Source organism: Homo sapiens, chromosome 1, assembly GCF_000001405.40.
Source record: "Homo sapiens chromosome 1, GRCh38.p14 Primary Assembly".
Lineage (NCBI taxonomy): Eukaryota > Metazoa > Chordata > Mammalia > Primates > Hominidae > Homo > Homo sapiens.
The window spans coordinates 35829304-35849141 of NC_000001.11; the positions used below are offsets into that span (position 1 = coordinate 35829304).

General features: G+C 41.9%; 1 protein-coding gene across 12 annotated transcripts in view; it reads left to right on the forward strand.

Moving 5' to 3' along the window:
- AGO4 (argonaute RISC component 4) overlaps window positions 1-19838 on the forward strand; it is a 50255-nt gene that overhangs the window by 21668 nt on the left and 8749 nt on the right. For 9 of the 12 annotated variants that reach the window (NR_146062.2, XR_246244.4, XR_246243.4 and 6 more), the window contains 8 exons: window positions 2124-2271; window positions 2509-2628; window positions 2754-2882; window positions 3134-3267; window positions 4687-4871; window positions 6531-6690; window positions 11862-12177; window positions 12313-12447. Coding sequence is in view for 7 of the 12 variants with exons in the window: in XM_005270578.4 (XP_005270635.1) it covers window positions 2124-2271; window positions 2509-2628; window positions 2754-2882; window positions 3134-3267; window positions 4687-4871; window positions 6531-6690; window positions 11862-12177; window positions 12313-12447 (1327 nt within the window). In the remaining 5 variants the exon portion in view is untranslated. Of the gene's footprint in view, window positions 1-2123; window positions 2272-2508; window positions 2629-2736; window positions 2883-3133; window positions 3268-4686; window positions 4872-6530; window positions 6691-9865; window positions 9977-11861; window positions 12178-12312; window positions 12448-19838 lie in introns of those variants that run through there. The other 3 variants (XR_946567.3, XM_047448151.1, XM_047448156.1) reach the window with 3 other exon arrangements.

Sequence of the window (19838 nt, forward strand, 5' to 3'; positions counted from 1 at the left end):
TCTCAGAAAAAAAAAAAAAAAAGTTACCAAAACCTTATGAAGTCACTGTTGAGAATTGTAGCATTTGTTCAAGAACTGTGCTCTTTTCATTATTTAATTATTTCACATAACCCTGTTAGAATAATTAGACTTATAGACGTATATAATCTTTGCTGAAAGATTATAACTCATATATTTAAATATCACATAGATGACCCTTACTGCACCACTACTTTGTAAGGCTGTGGCAGTTAAGAAAAGAAGATTAACGGGCTGGGCGTGGTGGCTCACGCCTCTAAATCCCAGCATTTTGGGAGGCCGAGGCAGGCAGATCACTAGAGGTCAGGAGTTCAAGACCAGCCTGGCCAACATGGTGAAACCCTGTCTCTACTAAAAATACAAAAATTAGCTGGGCATGGTGGCAGGCATGGTGGCAGGCGCCTGTAATCCCAGGTACTCGGGAGGCTGAGGCAGGAGAATCACTTGAACCCGGGAGGCAGAGGTTGCAGTGAGCCGAGATTGCACTCTAGCCTGGGCAACAGAGTGAGACTACATCTTAAAAAAAAAAAAAAAAAAAAAAAAAATGCAAGATTAAAACCCGGCATGGTGGCTGACAACTGTAATCCCAACACTTTGGGAGGCTGAGGAAAGAGGATTCCTTGAGCCCAGGAGTTCGAGACCAGCCTGGGCAATGTGGCAAGACCCCTCTATAAAAAATACAAAAAAATTAGCCAGGCATTTGTCCCAGCTAGTTGGGAGGCTGAGGTGGGAGAATTGCTTGAGCCCAAGTGGTGGAGGTTTCAGTAAGCCAAAATCATGCCACTGCACTCCAGCCTAGGTGACAGAACGAGACTCTGTCTCAAAAAAAAAAAAAAAAAAAGCAAGATTAAAGTTATTATTGTACTAAGTATTTGAGATAATTTGCCCACTGGAAAAGCCAAATAGAGTATCTTAATTATGCCAAATATTCTGGCACAGTCTCAGATTCATGTATTTGGTCTTGTTGTCTCCAGATCCACATGTATTTGTTCTAGTTTTAGGATCTAAAAATTTGGGAATCTAAAAATGTGGCCCCAATAACTATGCTACACTCATTTTACATAAAGTTATCTTAAGGGAACAAAACACCTACATGGATTACTCCAAATCTTTATGTTAATTTGAAGCCAGCAAGAGGTTGTATTTGTACCTGTAGGTGTTACCTGACCTCAAGTGAGTCTATGTATGTTCTGGTTCTGCAGTATCTTCTTGTTTTAAGTTATTTTTTTAAAATTCTTCTTAAATTTTAATTTAAAAAAATTTCTCATCCAAGCTTTAACCAACATGGAAAATTTCAATGGAATCATTGTTCTGGTTAAATACTAAACTTACTTAAGTGAAAATGCTCAAATAAAGATTAACTTTTGTTTTTTGGCTGGGCATGTGGCTCACACCTGTGATCCCAGCACTTTGGGAGGATGAGGCAGGTGGATCACCTGAAGTCGGGAGTTCTAGATCAGCCTGGCCAATGCGGTGAAACCCCATCTCTACTAAAAATACAAAAATTATAGGTGGTGGCGCGCACTTGTAATCCCAGCTACTCGGGAGCCTGAGGCAGGAGAACCGCTTGAACCCGGGAGATGGAGATTGCAGTGAACCAAGATGGTGCCACTGCACTCCCGCCTGGGCAACAGAGTGAGTCTCTGTCTCACAAAAAAAAAAAAAAAAAAAGATTGACCTTTGTTTTTTTAAGTGACTGATGAAGGTAGGAATTATTAGTGGGCTTTGTTTGTTTATTGTTTAGAAAAGAAAGAATTTGGCCAGTCACAGTGGCTCACGCCTGTAATCCCAGCACTTTGGGAGGCCGAGGTGGGCGGATCACTTGAGGTCAGGAGTTCGAGACCAGCCTGACCAACGTGGTGAAACCCTGTCTCTACTAAAAATACAAAAATTAGCTGGGCATGGTGGCACACGCCTATAATCCCAACTGCTTGGGAAGATGAGGCATGAGAATCCATTGAACCCGGGAGGCGGAGGTTGAGATCACGCCATGCACTCCAGCCTGGGCGACAGAGTGAGACACTGTCTCAAAAAAAAAGAAAAAAGAAAAAGAAGAAAAGAAAGAACTTGAAGAAATATTCTAAAAAAGACATTCTCTCCTATAGTTTTCCTTTGCAGCTAGAAAACGGTCAAGCTATGGAATGTACAGTAGCTCAATATTTTAAGCAAAAGTATAGTCTGCAACTGAAATACCCCCATCTTCCCTGTCTCCAAGTGGGACAAGAACAAAAGCATACATACTTGCCACTCGAGGTAAGTTAAATTTTCTTTTGCCAATTTGCTGATCTCTTGAATGAGTATATATTTTTAAGTAGAGTTCTAAACTAGTGGTGAAATTTAGTGTTAATTTCTAAAATATTTTTGGCAGATGATTTCACTATATAACCAAATTTTAATTTTTCTGGAAATAGAGGATATAAGATATGGTTTGGCAAAGGTTTAAGATGTGGAACCCTTTACACAAACCAATTTCTCTTTGTCTCTTGGCAGGTCTGTAATATAGTGGCAGGACAGCGATGTATCAAGAAGCTCACAGACAATCAGACTTCCACAATGATCAAAGCTACAGCAAGATCTGCTCCTGACAGACAGGAAGAGATCAGTAGACTGGTCAGTAAGGCATGGTCTTCAAGATGAGCTAGCTTTGAGATGACAAAAAACAAAAGAATAGAAAACTCCTCCTGGGACACAGTTACTCTCTGGTTTTTATATATGCAGGCTTTCCTGTTCTTTAGGTGAAGAGCAACAGTATGGTGGGTGGACCTGATCCATACCTTAAAGAATTTGGTATTGTTGTCCACAATGAAATGACAGAGCTCACAGGCAGGGTACTTCCAGCACCAATGCTGCAATATGGAGGCCGGGTAAGCTTTTTATTTTATTCAGCAAGCTTCTTCCACAACCAGTCAAAAAGAGAATAATCCAGGGTTTCTCTACTCTGCCACTGCTGAATTTACCCATAGTTTTGTTCATTATTGCCTTTTGTGTTCTGGCTCATACCTAATAGAATTTTGTTTATTCACTAGTCAATAGTAAAATGGCCTTAGATTGTAATGTCTTTTCTCTTTTCTTTTGTTTCTTCTTCTTCTTCTTCTTCTTTTTTTTTTTTTCAAAGAATAAAACAGTAGCCACACCCAACCAGGGTGTCTGGGACATGCGAGGAAAGCAGTTTTATGCTGGCATTGAAATTAAAGTTTGGGCAGTTGCTTGTTTTGCACCTCAGAAACAATGTAGGGAAGATTTACTAAAGTGAGTATCTTCATATTTTCAGCTTAGTAATATCCCTTCCAGATATGAAAATACTGTCTTTATGTGAATGTGCTGTGTACACTGGCACTAAATCCCTGACTCCCATAGTGACACCATCTGGCTATATGAAAAAGACCTTGTATTATAGTAATTTGCAAACTTGGGAATTACATTAAGAATCTGACTCAGCTTCCTTACATGTAGAGCAGAAATTTGTGAGTAACAAGGTGGAGACAATGTTGGTTGGCAAATTCTTGAGTTCTTATTGAAGCTTCCTTTGGTATTAATTGTATCTTTTCAGCCAAGATCAAAAACTAGCTTACTTTTAATCGTTATAATTTACTAATGAGCTTGTTTTATTGCAAGGTCTCTGGGTAAAAGTAGGTTCGCATCTTACAGATGCAGCTATCTATATAAAAGAAGTTAGTGGCCAGGCTCAGTGGCTCACACCTGTAATCCCAGCACTTTGGGAGGCCGAGGTGGGTGGATCATGGGGTCAGGAGATCGAGATCATCCTGGCCAACATGGTGAAACCCCGTCTCTACTAAAATACAAAAAATCAGCCAGGCATGGTGGCACGCGCCTGTAGTCCCAGCTACTGGGGAGGCTGAGGCAGGAGAATCACTTGAATCCAGGAGGCAGAGGTTGCAGTGAGCCAAGATCTCACCACTGCACTCCAGCCTCGCGACAGAGCAAGACTGCGTCTCAAAAAAATAAAAATAAAAAAATAAAATTAGGGAGAAGAGTGAAAAAAAATTAAGAAAAGGGAACTAGAGTGAAAGAAAGGAATTCTACAAAATATTGGCAAATGCACCAAAGGAATTCTGAAAGCTTTATACATAGATTGAAGTAACTTCTCAAATCTAAAATTTAAAACTTCAAAGTGAATTTTGCTTTTTTTAAGTGATGATTTCTTTTGACATTTTTATTGAACCAAATCTGTTCCAAGTTTGAATGTAGTCCTAAATACACTGATTTTGTAACAGCATGTCTCTGTGTTCTCAGTTGAGCACAAGCTTACCCAGCTATTTCTGTACCAGGCTTACCAAAATGCACGTTACCTGAAATTTTGACCCTGCTTTTCTTCAGTCCAGAATTATTGATTCGAATGTTTAAAAGATCTTTGAACAGCAATGCTATTCTAGTTCAGCTGCACATAATTATTTAAAAATTTCAGTTGATAATCTGATAGCTTAGTAATACAGATTCTTTTCTGTTTAACTGCAAGTTAAATTGCAAGTTTAATTGCAATTGCCAGTCCATTTTTGGCAACCAGTTAAAGATTTTTATTTATTTGTTTACTTGTTTCTAAATTTGGCTAAGAATTTACAAAACTGAAGGAAGTATTTCAGAGGAAAATGAATGCTAGAAATGTACTCTGAAATGAAAAAAACCGTGTTACTGGTTCTATTTTAACAGGAGTTTCACTGACCAGCTGCGTAAAATCTCTAAGGATGCAGGAATGCCCATCCAGGGTCAGCCATGTTTCTGCAAGTATGCACAAGGTGCAGACAGTGTGGAGCCTATGTTTAAACATCTGAAAATGACTTATGTGGGCCTACAGCTAATAGTGGTTATCCTGCCTGGAAAGACACCAGTATATGGTATGGACCCTTTTAATGCTGAATGAGGGATGATTTCAAGCAGTAGATATAACAGTCAGGATAAGCTAGGTTATGCTGCAGTCACAAACCTCAAACTCTCAGTGGTTCACAACAACAAAGATTTGTTTCTTGCTCCTGTTATGCATCCACTGAAGGTAGACTGCGGCTTCTGCTCTGTGTCATCATGTCATCTCCATTTGGGGACCCAGCTTGGCAGAGCAGCTGCTATTTGGAATGTTGCTGGCCCCACATTCTTTTTTCTCTCTGCAACTCCTTGGCCACAACCAGCCATATGGCCTTACCCAACTTGCGTGGGAGCAGTGGGGATGGGCATTGAGAATGTAGTGTGATACTACCATAGGCCTGGAAGCTGAGAGAACTGGAAATATTTGGTGAAAAGCACTTAGGAATATGAGAGTGAGGAAGAGTGCCACTTCCAGAAGAGGATTTGCTTACTTTGTATCTATTATAAGAAGAATGATACAAAGTTATTTTGGCTATCATTTAAATAAAGGATATAGGAACTATTATTGTTGATGAGACAGAATCTCAGCTCTGTCACCCAGGCTGGAGTGCGGTGTCATGATCACTGCCCATCTCAGCCTCACAATCCTGGGCTCAAGTGATTCTCCCGTCTCAGGCTCTCGAGTAGCTGGGAATACAGGTGCCCACAACCACGCCCAGCTAATTTTTGTATTTTTTATAGAGATAGGGTTTTGCCGTGTTGCCCAGGATGGTCTTGAACTCCTGGGCTCAAGCCATCCACCTGCCTTGGGCTTCCCAAAGCATTGGGATTACAGGCATGGGCCAGCACGCCCAGCCAGTTTTAAACTTTTTTTTTTTTTTTTTTTTTTGAGGCAGGGTCCTGCTCTGTCATCCAGGCTGTAGTGCAGTGGCGCAATCTTGACTCACTGCAGCCTCCGCCTCTTGGGTTCAAGTGATTCTCCTGCCTCAGCCCCCCAAGTACTGGGACTACAGGCACGTGCCATCTCCTGCCTCAGCCCCCCCAAGTACTGGGACTACAGGCACGTGCCATCACACCCAGCTAATTTTTGTATTTTTAGTAGAGATGGGGTTTCACCATGTTGGCCAGGCTGGTTTTGAACTCCTGACCTCAAGTGATCCACCCGCCTTGGCCTCCCAAAGTGCTGAGATTACAGATGTGAGCCACTGTGGCTGGCCCCAGTTTTAAACTTTATAAAATGTCTTTAACCTTCTCTCTACAGTTATCTCTAGTACTTAAAGAAAGAAAAAGGAAGCAAAACAAAACAAAACAAAATAAAATAAAATTCAAAGGGCCGGTGTGTGTACTGAGAGGGAGGAGCTGGGAAGATTGATTCTTTTGCTAAATCAGTCATGTGGGAAGAGGAGCATCAAGGAGCTGAGCAAGTCGTGGCAGGCAGCACAGAGAATAAAGGAAGCAGACTGGCTGCAGGGCCTGCAGGAGGGAAAAAAGGAGAGAAGGGAGGGCCTATCCAAACACAGGGGGAAAAATTGCCCTGGGGGTTTAGCAGATAAAAGGAAGACACATGAGAAGCATCTAGCACAGTGTACAGTATATAGTAGGTTATAAAGTTAATGTGTGGGGTTTTTTTCCTTCTGCTTTTAGTAATTAGGAGACCATTTAAACATGTTAAAATTAATAAATTATTTTTGTAGCGGAGGTGAAACGTGTTGGAGATACCCTTCTAGGTATGGCCACACAGTGTGTCCAGGTAAAAAATGTAGTGAAGACCTCACCTCAAACCCTTTCCAATCTTTGCCTGAAGATAAATGCAAAACTTGGAGGAATTAACAATGTGCTTGTGCCTCATCAAAGGTAAGATTCTGAATGCTTTCCCCACTTTTGTTTAAGATCTAACTTACATAATTTATGGGAAAGCACACAAATATTATATATGCATCTAGATTACCTTTTCTCTTGTATATATATGCACCCATATACCCAATTCCCAGATAAAGATATAGAACATTTCCAGCACCCCATCAGCCTTCCTTATGGCCCCTCCAAATAGATAACCCCCAAAGGTGACCACCATTCTGATGTCTATCACCTATCCAGATTACTTTTGCCCATTTTTGAGCTTCATATAAATGGAATCATGCAGGATGTACTATTTTGTGTTGGTCTTCTTTTGTTCAACATTATGTCTGTGAGGTTAATTTGTGTTGTTGCACTTGGGAGTAGTTTATTCTTTTTCATTGTTGTGTATGATTTCATTTCATGAATAAACGACACAATTTTAATTTATTCTACTATTGATCACTCTGTCCCCCAAGGTTGGAGTGCAGTGATGCGATCTCGGCTTACTGCAAGCTCCGCCTCCCGGGTTCACGCCATTCTTCTGCCTCAGCCTCCCCAGTACCTGGGACTACAGGCACCTGCCACCACACCCGGCTAATTTTTTGTATTTTTAGTAGAGACGGGGTTTCACCATATTAGCCAGGATGGTCTCAATCTCCTGACCTTGTGATCCGCCCGTCTCGGCCTCCCAAAGTGCTGGGATTACAGGCGTGAGCCACTGTGCCCGGCCTTGGATATTTTCATACATTCATTATACAATTCTACATTTTTGGTGAACTGAAACACTCTTTCTGTTGTGTGGAATTCCAGGAGTGTAATTACTGAGTTACGGAGAATAGAGTTACAGAGAATACATATATTTACTATTAATAGATACAGTCAAATAGTTTTCCAAAGTGGTTGTACCAATTTACACTTACACTGAGAGTTCTACTTGCTCTATATTCTTACCAACACTTGGTAGTATCAGTCCTTTTAATTTTAGCCATTTTGCTTGGGGATAATAGTATCTCATTATAGTTTTAATTTGCATTCCCTTAATGAGTAATGATGTTAAGCACATTTTCATATGCTCATTAGCCATTTGGACATCTTTATATTTTTGTTTGTTTGTTTTGTTTTGAGATGGAGTCTTGCTCTGTCACTCAGGCTGGAGTGCAATGGCATGATCTTGGTTCACTGCAACCTCCACCTCCCAGGTTCAACCAATGCTACCACCTCAGCTTCTTGAGTAGCTAGGATTACAGGTGCACACCACCATGCCCCACTATTTTTTTGTATTTTTAGTAGAGACAGGGTTTCACCATGTTGGCCAGGCTGGACTTGAACTCCTGACCTCAAGTGATCCGCCTACCTCAGCCTCCCAAAGTGCTGAGATTACAGGCGTGAGCCACCGCGCCTGGCCTGTTTTTTTTTTTGGGACAGGGTCTCACTCTGTCTTCCAGGCTGGAGTGCAGTGATGTGATCATGGCTCACTGAAGACCCAAACTCCTGGCCTTCAACTGATCCTCCCACCTCAGCCTCCCAAGTAGCTGGGACTACAGGCTCATACCACCATGCTCGGCTAATGTTTTTATTTTTTATAGAGACAGGGTTTTGTCCTGTTGACCAGGCTGGTCTAGAACTCTTGAGCTCAAACAGTCCTCCTGGCTCAGCCTCCCGAAGTGCTGGGATTACAGGCATGAGCCACCATGCCTAGCCTAAACATCTTCTTTTATAATGGACCTGTTCAGTCCTTTGCTCATTTTTTTATATTGGGTTGTGAGTCTTTTTCATTAATTTGTAGTAGTTCTTTGTGGTTTCTGGTCCTTCACAAGATACAGATATCCTATAGGCAAACAGGATAGGCAGATTATCTTCTCCTAGTCTGTGCTTTGCCTTTTCACTCTCCTAAATTGTGGGTTTTCTGTTTTTTTCTTTTTAAGACAAGGTCTCACTCTGTCACCCAGGCTGGAGTGCAGTGGGGCAATCATGACTCACTGCAGCCTCAATCTCCCCAGCTCAAGCGATTCTCCCGCTTTAGTCTCCTGAGTAGCTGGGACTACAGGAATGTGCCACCATGCCTGCCTATTTATTTATTTATGTATTTATTGAGACAGAGTCTCACTCTGTCACCCAGGCTGCAGTACAGTGATGCAATCTCGGCTCACTGCAACCTCCGCCTCCTGAGTTCAAGCGATTCTCCTGCCTCAGCCTCCCGAGTAGCTGGAATTACAGGCTCATGCCACCATACTCGGCTAATTTTTGTATTTTTAGTAGAGACAGGGCTTTACCATGTTGGCCAGGCTGGTGGTCTTGAGCTCCTGACCTCAAGCAATCGGCCCACCTTGGCCTCCCAAAGTGCTGGGATTATAGGCATGAGCCACTATGCCCAGCCTTAAATTTTTTTTTAAAGATGAGGTCTTGCTGTGTTGTCCAGGCTGGTCTTGAACTCCTGGGCTTAAGTGATCCTTCCACCTTGGCCTCTGAAAGTGTTGGAATTATAGACGTGAGCCACCATGCCTGGTCAACAGTGGCTTTTGATGAACAGAAAATGTTAATAGGACTGAGTTGAATCAATCTTTTTATGTCCTTTTAAGAAACCCTGTCTGTCCCTCCCTTCATAGGTTTTTTTTGTTGTTGTTTAAATTTGAGTTTGTCAGATTGACTCTAGAGTAAGCAAACACCAAGGCAAGACAGGGATATGATAGACAAAGTGCTGGCTGGGCATTGGGAGATTTGAGTATTGTTACGCATGTGAATTTCTAATATCTCTGGGCCTCAGTTCCTTATCTATCCAGATAATAATATCTGCCTTGTTAACTTGAAAGTGTTGTTTTTCTGTGAAATACTATGTGTGAAAGTGATTTGAAGAGTTAAATTTGGGGCTGTGGTATTAGTCATTGCCATACTTGAAGATGAAATTGAGTGCCTTGCTCTTACGCAATCATATCACAGTTCTCTTTTTTTTTTAATTTAATCTTAGCATATTTTGTCAACTTGATTAGTTGATTTCTTATTTCTTATTTATTTATTTTTTTGAGACAGTGTCTCACTTTGTCACCCAGGCTGGAGTGCGGTGGCACAATCTCGGCTCACTGCAAACTCCGCCTCCCAGGCTCAAGCAATCTTCCCACCTCAGCCTCCCAACTAGCTGGGACCACAGGTGTGCACCACCACGCCTGGCTTATTTTTTGTATTTTTCATACAGACGAGGTTTCTCCATGTTGCCCACACTGGTCTCAAACTCCTGAGCTCAAGCAATCCACCCGCTCAGCCTCCCAACACAGTTCTCATTTTTGTCCTTGGATGAAACTTCTAGGTAAATAAATCCCTCCTTAAACATTAGTGATGAGATATATGGGCCATAGGGGAAGTTAACCTAAAGTCTGTCTTCATTTAATTTTAACCCAAACATTTGAGACAATATAGTGTAGTGGCTTAGAGTGCATACTTTGGCGTTAAACTTCTTTGGTTTGGATTGCAGCTTTTCCTCTCCTAGCTGTGTGATCTTGGGAACATTCTTTATCCTCTTATGTCTTATTTTTTATCTGGAAAAATTGAGATAATAATTGTACCACCCTCATAAAATTTTAAGGACTAAATGAGTTAACACGTGTGAAGTGCTTAGCATAGTGGCTGGTACGTTGTATATGTAAGCTGTTATGTTATATATATGTGTGTTGCCTATATATGTCCGCTGTTATTAACTTCTCTGTGCCAGGCTTATGTTCTGTGATGATACAGAGAGATAAATGGGACACAGCCTCTTCTCCCATGGGACCTTACCTTTAGTACCTATTATATGAGGTTGTCAAGTATGGGATGCCTCTTAAATTACACTTGAAGAATTAACACTCGCAGTCCCAAATCCTACCTTTAAGAATTTATCCCAGCTATCTGGAAGGCTGAAGTGGGAGAATCACCTGAGTCCAGGAGGTTGAGGCTGCAGTGAGCTGAGATCATGCCATTGCACTCTAGCCTGGGCAACAGAGTGAGACCCTGTCTCAAAAAAAAAAAAAAAAGGGTATTGTTTTGTTTTGTTTTGTTTTGAGATGGAGTCTTCCTCTGTCACCCAGGCTGGAGTGCAGTGGCGTGATCCTGGCTCACTGCAACCTCTACCTCCTGGGTTCAAGTGATTCTCCCGCCTTAGCCTCCCCAGTAGCTGGGATTACAGGTGAGCGCCTCCATGCCCGTCTAATTTTTTTTTTTGTTTGTTTGAGACGGTCTTGCTCTGTCACCCAGGCTGGAGTGCAGTGGTGTGATCTTGGCTCACTGCAACCTCCACCTTCCTGGTTCAAGTGATTCTCCTGCCTCTTCCACCTTCTGAGTAGCTGGGATTACAGGCACACACCACCACACCTGGCTAATTTTTGTATTTTTTAGTAGAGACAGGGTTTCACCATGTTGGCCAGTCTGGTCTCAAACTCCTGACCTCAAGTGATCTGCCTGCCTCAGCCTTCCAAAGTGCTGGGATTACAGGCGTGAGTCACCATGCCCGGCCTTAATTTTTGTATTTTTAGTAGAAACAGGGTTTCACCGTGTTGGCCAGGCTGGTCTCCAACTCCTGACCTCAGGTGATCCTCCTGCCTTGGCCTCCCAAAGTGCTGGGATTACAGGCGTGAGCCACCACGCCCGGCCTCTTTTCTTTTTTTAAAGACAAGGTCTTACTCTGTCACCCAGGCTGGAGTACAGTGATGTGACACAGTACAGTGTAGTATAGTACATAACTCACTGCAGCCTCAAACTCCTGGGCTTAAATGTTTTTTTCTGCCTCAGCCTCCCAAGTAACTGGGACTACAGGCAGGCGCTGCCACGCTGGGCTTTCTTATTTTTTGTAGAGACCTGGGTCTTGATATATTGCCCAGGCTGGCCTTGAACTTCTGGGCTCAAGCAGTCCTTCCTCCTTGGCCTTCTAAAGTGCTGAGATTATAGGTATGAGCCAAGGTGCCCAGCCTAGGTCCTGTTTTTTAAATCTTCTCTTCCTACTGTTATAGAAGAGCCATGTTCACTTCTTCAGTCAGTCCAGAGTCACTGTACTGGGTGACATCAATATTCAGTGGTCCGTAGTGTTCTTTCCCAATGGGCTTAAGTCTTTGTTCTCTCTTATAAGGTTATATCTGATTATATCTGGTGATATAATCTTGCTAAACTCAAACATTTTCACTTATATGTCTGAGTGGCAACATCTCCTTAAATCTGAGCAGGCCCTCGGTGTTCCAGCAGCCTGTCATCTTCCTGGGAGCGGATGTCACACACCCCCCAGCAGGGGATGGGAAGAAACCTTCCATTGCTGCTGTGGTTGGCAGTATGGATGGCCACCCCAGCCGGTACTGTGCCACCGTTCGGGTGCAGACTTCCCGGCAGGAGATCTCCCAAGAGCTCCTCTACAGTCAAGAGGTCATCCAGGACCTGACTAACATGGTTCGAGAGCTGCTGATTCAGTTCTACAAATCCACACGCTTCAAACCCACTCGGATCATCTATTACCGTGGAGGGGTATCTGAGGGACAAATGAAACAGGTACTCTCATTATCCCTGTTGCCCTTCGGGGCCCCTAGGAGTCTGAGGGAGATTCCTCTCATCTACCATTCTGGGTAGATCTGAGAGATACTAGGCAAATTCTCAATTAAACATAATTCCATTTCTGTCTTCTAGGTAGCTTGGCCAGAACTAATAGCAATTCGAAAGGCATGTATTAGCTTGGAAGAAGATTACCGGCCAGGAATAACTTATATTGTGGTGCAAAAAAGACATCACACACGACTCTTCTGTGCAGATAAAACAGAAAGGGTAAGAAGATATAATATAAGCTTTGTTATCTGAGGCTCTGGCAAGAGATGTATATATGCACATATATATATATATATATATATATATACACCATTTTTATACAATTTTTTTCTTAAAAGCAGAAATGCCTGATAATAATTTAACTGCAGTTGGGTTTAGATGACCAATTCTGAATGATACGAGTTTTGAGACTGAATATTTTATTTCTCTTGTATAACAGAAATGCTGATTTCTCGAGTTGTTTTTGTGTCGGGGGGAGTAGGTCAGAAACATGCCAGGTACATTGTGATGATATAGGCAACCTTCTAAGGGGTGCTTTTGTTATTTGTTACTTTTTGCTGCACAGTTCTAGGGTATAAAGAAGAATTTATCTTCCAAATAATTTTATATCCGCATAGGACACGGGTCCCCAACCCCCAGACTGTGGACTGGTAACAGTCTGTGGCCTGTTGGGAACCAGGCTGCACAGCAGGTGAGTGGTCAGTGAATGATCATTACCACCTGAGCTCTGCCTCCTGTCAGATCAGCAGTGGTGGAACAGTTTCATCCCAAAACCATCTCCCCGCCGCTCCCCTACCCTCATCCATGTAAAAATTGTCTTCCATGAAACCTGTCCTTGCTGCCAAAAAAGTTGAGGACTGCTGGCATAGAAGATTCATAGGGCACAGACTTTGAATATTTATAGTGTCGCACTTAAACCACAGTCAAATTACTCAACTTCTCTAAGCCATAATATTCTCATCTGTAAAATGTGGTTAAGAACAATATCTGACCTGGCGCTGTGGCTCACGCCTGTAATCCCAGCACTTTGGGAGGCTGAGGCGGGCGATCACTTGAGGTCAGGAGTTCGAGGCCAGCCTGGCCAACATGGTGAGACTCCATCTCTACTGAAAATACAAAAATTAGCTGGGCGTAATGGTGCACGCCTGTAGTCCCAGGTATCCAGGAGGCTGAGGCAGGAGAATCGCTTGAACCCAGGAGCCAGAGGTTGCAGTGAGCCGAGATCATACCACTGCACTCCAGCCTGCACAGAGCAAGACTCTGCCTAAAAGAAAACAAAAAAAAATTAAAATCCAAAACACCTCTAATCCCCAGGCATTTCAGGTAGAGAATGCCCAACCTATATTATTAATAGATAATCTTGCTTCTTTGATATTTTTTAATGACTTTACTTCATCTTGTCCAGGCCCTCTCTGATCCACCCCTAGGAAGACCAGATCTTTCTGTTGCCTAATCATGTAATCTTGTTTGCCACTCCCATTATTTTCAAGTACACTCTAGTTTTTTTGTCTCTAATCCGAGGATGAACTGTTTCTTTTTTCTCTTTTTTTGAGACCGAGTTTTGCTCTTGTCACCCAGGCTGCAATGCAACGGCACAATCTTGGCTCACTGCAACCTCTGCCTCCCGAGGTTCAAGCGATTCTCCTGCCTCACCCTCCTGAGTAGCTGGGATTATAGGCGCCCACCACCATGCCCAGCTAATTTTTGTATATTTAGTTGAGACGGGGTTTCACCATGTTAGCCAATCCAGTCTTGAACTCCTGACCTCAGGTGATCCACCTGCTTCGGCCTCCCAAAGTGCTGGGATTACAGGTGTGAGCCGCCGTGCTTGGCCTGAACTGTTTCTTTTTGTTTTCTGAATCAAGGTTGTTTTCTCATTGGGCCCCAGATCCAATCAGCTTAGATTAAAAGGACTGTCTTAAATTAAAAGGGCTGTTTTAAATTAAAAGGGCTGTCTTTAAATTGCTGAAACCATGAGTTAATAGTACTTCTTACCAACTGGGCTTTACCTCTCTGTAACATACACATATAAGAAATCTGTACCTGTGCCCCCAAAATATATAAAAATTTAAATAAAAAATAGACCAGCACATGTCAAATAAAATAAATAAATAAAAGATATGCTGTGAAAAAAAAAATAGTACTTCTTAGACTTTGCTAATACAAATTCGTTGAACTCTTGCCTGACCTCTGGGCACAAAACCTCCTGCCACCTTCTCCTTAACTGTTGTCATCTCTCCACCTGTCTGTCAACTTGTTATCCATGTAGATTTAAGATCTTCTTCTTCAGGCTTGTCTTCCTAAACTATCTATTAAGCTATTATTAAGCTATCTCATAGTTTTATTCTTTAAATCTTTCAAAATTGACAGTTCCAGTTCTTGGTCTACTTTGTACCCTGACATTTACTAATATCTTCAATTCTCTAAGCATGCCTCTTGCCAATCCACTTGCCCATTTATTTTGCCTCTACTCTTAGGCTGATAGAAATTGCTGGGGGAAAAGTGGTGGATTTTATTTTTTTGGAACAGGGTCTCATCTCACTCTGTCACCCAGGGTGGAGTGCAGTGGCATGATTATGGCTCATGGCAGCCTAGATGCCCCCAGGCTCAGGTGATCCTCCTACCTGAGCCTCCCAAGTAGCTGGGACTACAGGCACTCACCATCACTCTTGGCTACTTTTTTTGTATTTTTTGTAGAGATGGGGTTTCACCATGTTGTCCAGGCTGATCTTGAACTCTTGGGCTCAAGTGATCAGCTCACCTCAGCCTCTCAAAGTTCTAGGATTACAGGCGTGAGCCACCACACCTGTCCAAAAGTGTCTGTTTAATAAAGAACCATATTACAAATTCATGAGAGCAAATCTCAGCCAGGCCTTGGATGCTGCCGTTTTTTCATTTACCCTATTCCCCATAGCATCTGTTCCACACCTTTATACTCTTCTCAAGTCCCCTACCCTATTCATAATAACTCTATTGCCAACAAAGTCCTATCGTCTATTTCCCTCCAAAAACAAGATCTAGAAGGCAAGAATTTTCTCAGCTGCCTCTCCTCTACTTTCAAACTCAGTTACATCTTGTATTTTCCTATCTCCTTCCTCGTATCTCTCCACCTATGCTTTCCTGCCCCCATCCTGTGCTTTCAATCCTAATCCCTCCTGACTTCTCTAGAGCCTTACTTGGTCAATTACGCATTATTTTTCAAAACGTCACTCTTTCGTGTTCTGTTGCCTCCTTCTCGCCCTATAAAGGTGGTTTAAATCTTCCTGAGTTCACCTCACCCTGCTTCTCCCTCAGTCTCACTGCTACCTTATCTTTTCTTCCTTTCACGACTAAACTTTGAGAAAAACAATCACTTGACTTTCTATCTGTACTTTCTCACATCAAACTTTAATTTTCTGTAGCCTAACTTCAATTTCAGTGACTCCATTGAAGTTGTTGTCTCAATGACTTGCTCATTTCAAATCAAGAGATACTTTGTCAGATTCCCACACTGACTTCTTTGTAGCACTTAAGACAATGATTGCCTTATTTGGCCTTAGCAAAGTGACTTTCCAGCTTTACTACCCACCTTTGTAATCAGACTTTTTTTTTTTTTTTTTTGAAATGGAGTTTCTGTAATCAGACTTTTTTTTTTTTTTTTTGAAATGGAGTTTCTGTAATCAGACTTTTTTTTTTTTTTTTGAAATGGAGTTTCTGTAATCAGGCTTTTTTTTTTTAAGATAGAGTTTCACTCTGTCATGATCTCGGCTTGCTGCAATCTCTGCCTCCCGGGTTCAAATAATTCTCCTGCCTCAGCCTACCAAGTAGTTGGGATTACAGGCGCATATCACCATGCCCAGCTAATTTTGTATTTGTGGTAGAGACAGGGTTTCACTATGTTGGCCAGACTGGTCTCGAACTCCTGACCTCAAGTGATTCACCCACCTCGGCCTCCCAAAGTGCTGGGATTACAGATGTCAGCCACTGTGCCCGGCCTGTAATCAGACTTTTTTGATTCCTCTTTCTCCCTCTCTCCATTAAACACTGATATTTCCCGACATTTCATACTTCTCTCTCTTCTCTTCTCAATTTCAGCCCTCTCTATAGTGTCATCCACTTTTCTGGGCGAATTCCCTTGCTTGTAGATTACTAAATCTGTATTTCCAGCCCCAATCTACTCTTCAGCTCCTGATTTGTACTCCCAGTTATCTACCAGACATATTTGCTTAGATTCTCTATAGGCACTGCATCAGTCAAGATAGGCCAAAAACAACAACAAAAACCCAAATCGTAGTGGCTTACAAAGACTTGCTTTTTGATCATATTACACATTCATTGTGGCTCTGCTGCAGCTGTGACCCTGCTGTCCTCCCTTTGGAACCTAGGCTGACAAAGAAGCATCTATCTGGAACACTGCCAGTCATCCTGGCAGAGAGGAAAAAAGATACATGACAAGCCATGTGCTGGCCCAGAAGTAACACATTTCAGGCCACATTTTATCAGCCAAAGCAAGTCACCCCTGAGATAATTGGGTGTGGATGTATAATCCTCCCCCAGGCAGGGGCATGGGAATGTTTGGCACCAGTAATACAATCTACCACAGGCATTTCAAGCAAAGCATGTCTAAACCTTCTATTTATTGTTTTATCCCCATCCAAAACCTATTCCTCCCCAATTTTCCTTTTATTCTATTACTTGGCATCACTGTATATTAAGTCAGCCAAGCTAGAAACTTCAGAGTTGTCTTTAAATTCTTTGCCCCATTTCCAGTCCCTCCATACGCATTTAGAAAATAGTCCTCTGTGGGCCAGGTGCGGTGGCTGACACCTGTAATCCCAGCACTTTGGGAGGCTGAGGTGGGCGGATCACAAGGTCAGGAGATCGAGACCATCCTGGCTACCACGGTGAAACCCTGTCTCTACTAAAAATACAAAAAATTAGCCGGATGTGGTGGCAGGCGCCTGTAGTCCCAGCTACTCGGGAGGCTGAGACAGGAGAATGGCGTGAATCCGGGAGGTGGAGCTTGCAGTGAGCTGAGATGGCACCACTGCACTCCAGCCTGGGAGACAGAGTGAGACTCCATCTCAAAAAAAGATATATATATATATATATATATATATTTAGGGACAGGGTCTAAGTTTGTTCCCCAGTTTGGTCTTCAGCTCCTGGACTCAAGTGGTCCTCCCACCTCAGCCTCCCAAAGTGTTGGCATTACAGGCATAAGCCACCATACCTGGCCCTAGTTTTGACAAATACATACAGTTCTGTAGGCATCACCACAATAAAAATACACAGTCATCCCTCAGAATCCATGGGGGATTGGTTCCAGGACCTGCTGCAGATACCAAAATCCACATATGCTCAAGTCCCTGATATAAAATGGTACAGTAAGCAAGGCGTGGTGGTGCATACCTGTAGTCCCAGCTACTTAGGAAGCTGAGACAGTAGGATCACTTGAGTCCAGGAGTTTGAGACAAGCCTGGGCAACATAGCAAGACTCCATCTCAAAAAACAAAAATGGTATAGTAATTGTATATAACCTATGCACATCCTCCCATATGTTTTAAAACAGGGGTGTCCAATCTTTTGGCTTCCTTGGACCACATTGGAAGAAGAATTTTCTTGGGCCACACATAAAATACACTAACCATAGCTGATGGGCTAAAAAAAAAAATCACAAACAAATCTCATAATGTTTTAAGAAAGTCTACAAATTTGTTTTTGGTCTTTTTTTTTTTTTTGAGACTGAGTCTCGCTCTGTTACCCAGGCTGGAGTGCAATGGCTCAGTCTCGGCTCACTGCAACCTCTGCCTCCTGGGTTCAAGTGATTCTCCTGCCTCAGCCTCCCGAGTAGCTGGGATTACAGGCACATGCCACCATGCCCAGCTAATTTTTGGATTTTTAGTAGAGATGGAGTTTCACCATGTTGGCCAGGCTGGTCTTGAACTCCTGAGCTCAAGTAATCTGCCTGCCTTGGCCTCCCAAAGTGCTGGGATTACAGGCATGAAAGCCACTGCTCCCGGCCCAAGTTTACAAATGTGTACTGGGCCACATTCAAAGCCATCCTGGGCTGCATGTTGGACAAGCTTGCTTTAAAAGATCTCTAGATTACTTATAATACCTAATACAATGTAAAGGCTTAAATAGTTGTTATACTATATTTTAAAATGTGTATAAGTTTTTACTGTTGAATTATTTTAAATATTTTTCTAGGTTGCTTTAGTACCGAATACAGTGTAAATGCTATGTTTTATTGTTTTTAATTTTTTTCATATTAAAATTAAATTTTTAAACATGTTAACAATTTTCTGTATTTGTGTCAGGTCTTTAAAATTTATATTTTTATTTATTTTTAATTGACATAATAATTATACACATTTATGGGTTACATAGGAATTCTTATACAAATAATGTGCAGTGATCAAATCAGGGTATAATTAGAATATCCAAACCTTTTTAAAGAATATCCACAGTTGGTTGAATTCCTGAATGCAGAACCTGTGGATACCAAGGGCTGACTGTATAATAATTCTGTCATACCAAAAAATCTTCAGGTGTCCTTTTGTAGTTAACCTTTCTCCTTCACTCCCAGCCCTTGGCAACCACTGATATGTATTCTGTTCCTACAGTTTTGCTTTTTCCAGCACATCATATAAATAGAATCATAGCCCTTGAGTCTGGCATTTGAGATTCATCCAAGTTGTGTATATATCAGTAATTTGCCCCTTTTTATTGTGAGTGGTATTTCATAATGTGGATGAGCCACAGTTTGCTTATCCATTTCTGAGTTTAGGGGTATTTGGAGTGTTTCCTGTTTTTTACCCAACTTCCCTTTTCAGCTCCTACTTATAAGGCATGGCTCACCTATTTCCTCCTCATCAGCTTTTCCCAATGCTTCCCATATGCCCTTATGACATTGTGTTACAGTTTATTGTATACACTTTTCATGAAGTCAGGAAGGCAAGTTTATTAGTTCTCTTGATGCCCCTGGCTGTCATCCCCAACATCTGCTGCGGAGCCTAGCAGTCATATGGGTGCTCAAGCAATAACTGGTGAATTGAAAAGGCCTGGATTCCCTTTTCTCCAAGGCATCACCTCTTCAGGCTGTCATATGTAGAACCAGAGAGTTTTTTTTTTTTTTAAGGGTAAAATAAATTTAGAAAATGCTATATACTTTATATCCCTTTTAAAGATTATACATGACTAAATAAAGGTTTTGAGTCATACAGTAGAAAAATACTTTTAACTTTAATTTGATCCCATATTTCTCAGGTTTGTTTCACCATAAAATACCTAAACACATCCTGCAAAGCTAATATTCCTAAAGAACACACTTTGGGGAAAAAAAAATGCTAGAACCAACTAGATTTCTTCTGATCCAGCTAGGAACCCAAGATCACATATGCATTTGATGGAAGGAGATTTTTCTATACTCATAGAGTTATGTATGCATAGGTGTATGATCTTCAGCTTAAGGTAACAATAGTTAAAATGGAGCCAAATAAACTCCCATCAAATTTGTGCCTGTATGCTAAAGAAATGTGTTCATACTGAACTCTGCTGTACAGCAGAAGAGGGTGACCAAATAGCAAGATGTAATTCCTTCCCTTGTAATCCATTTCTGAAGTTCC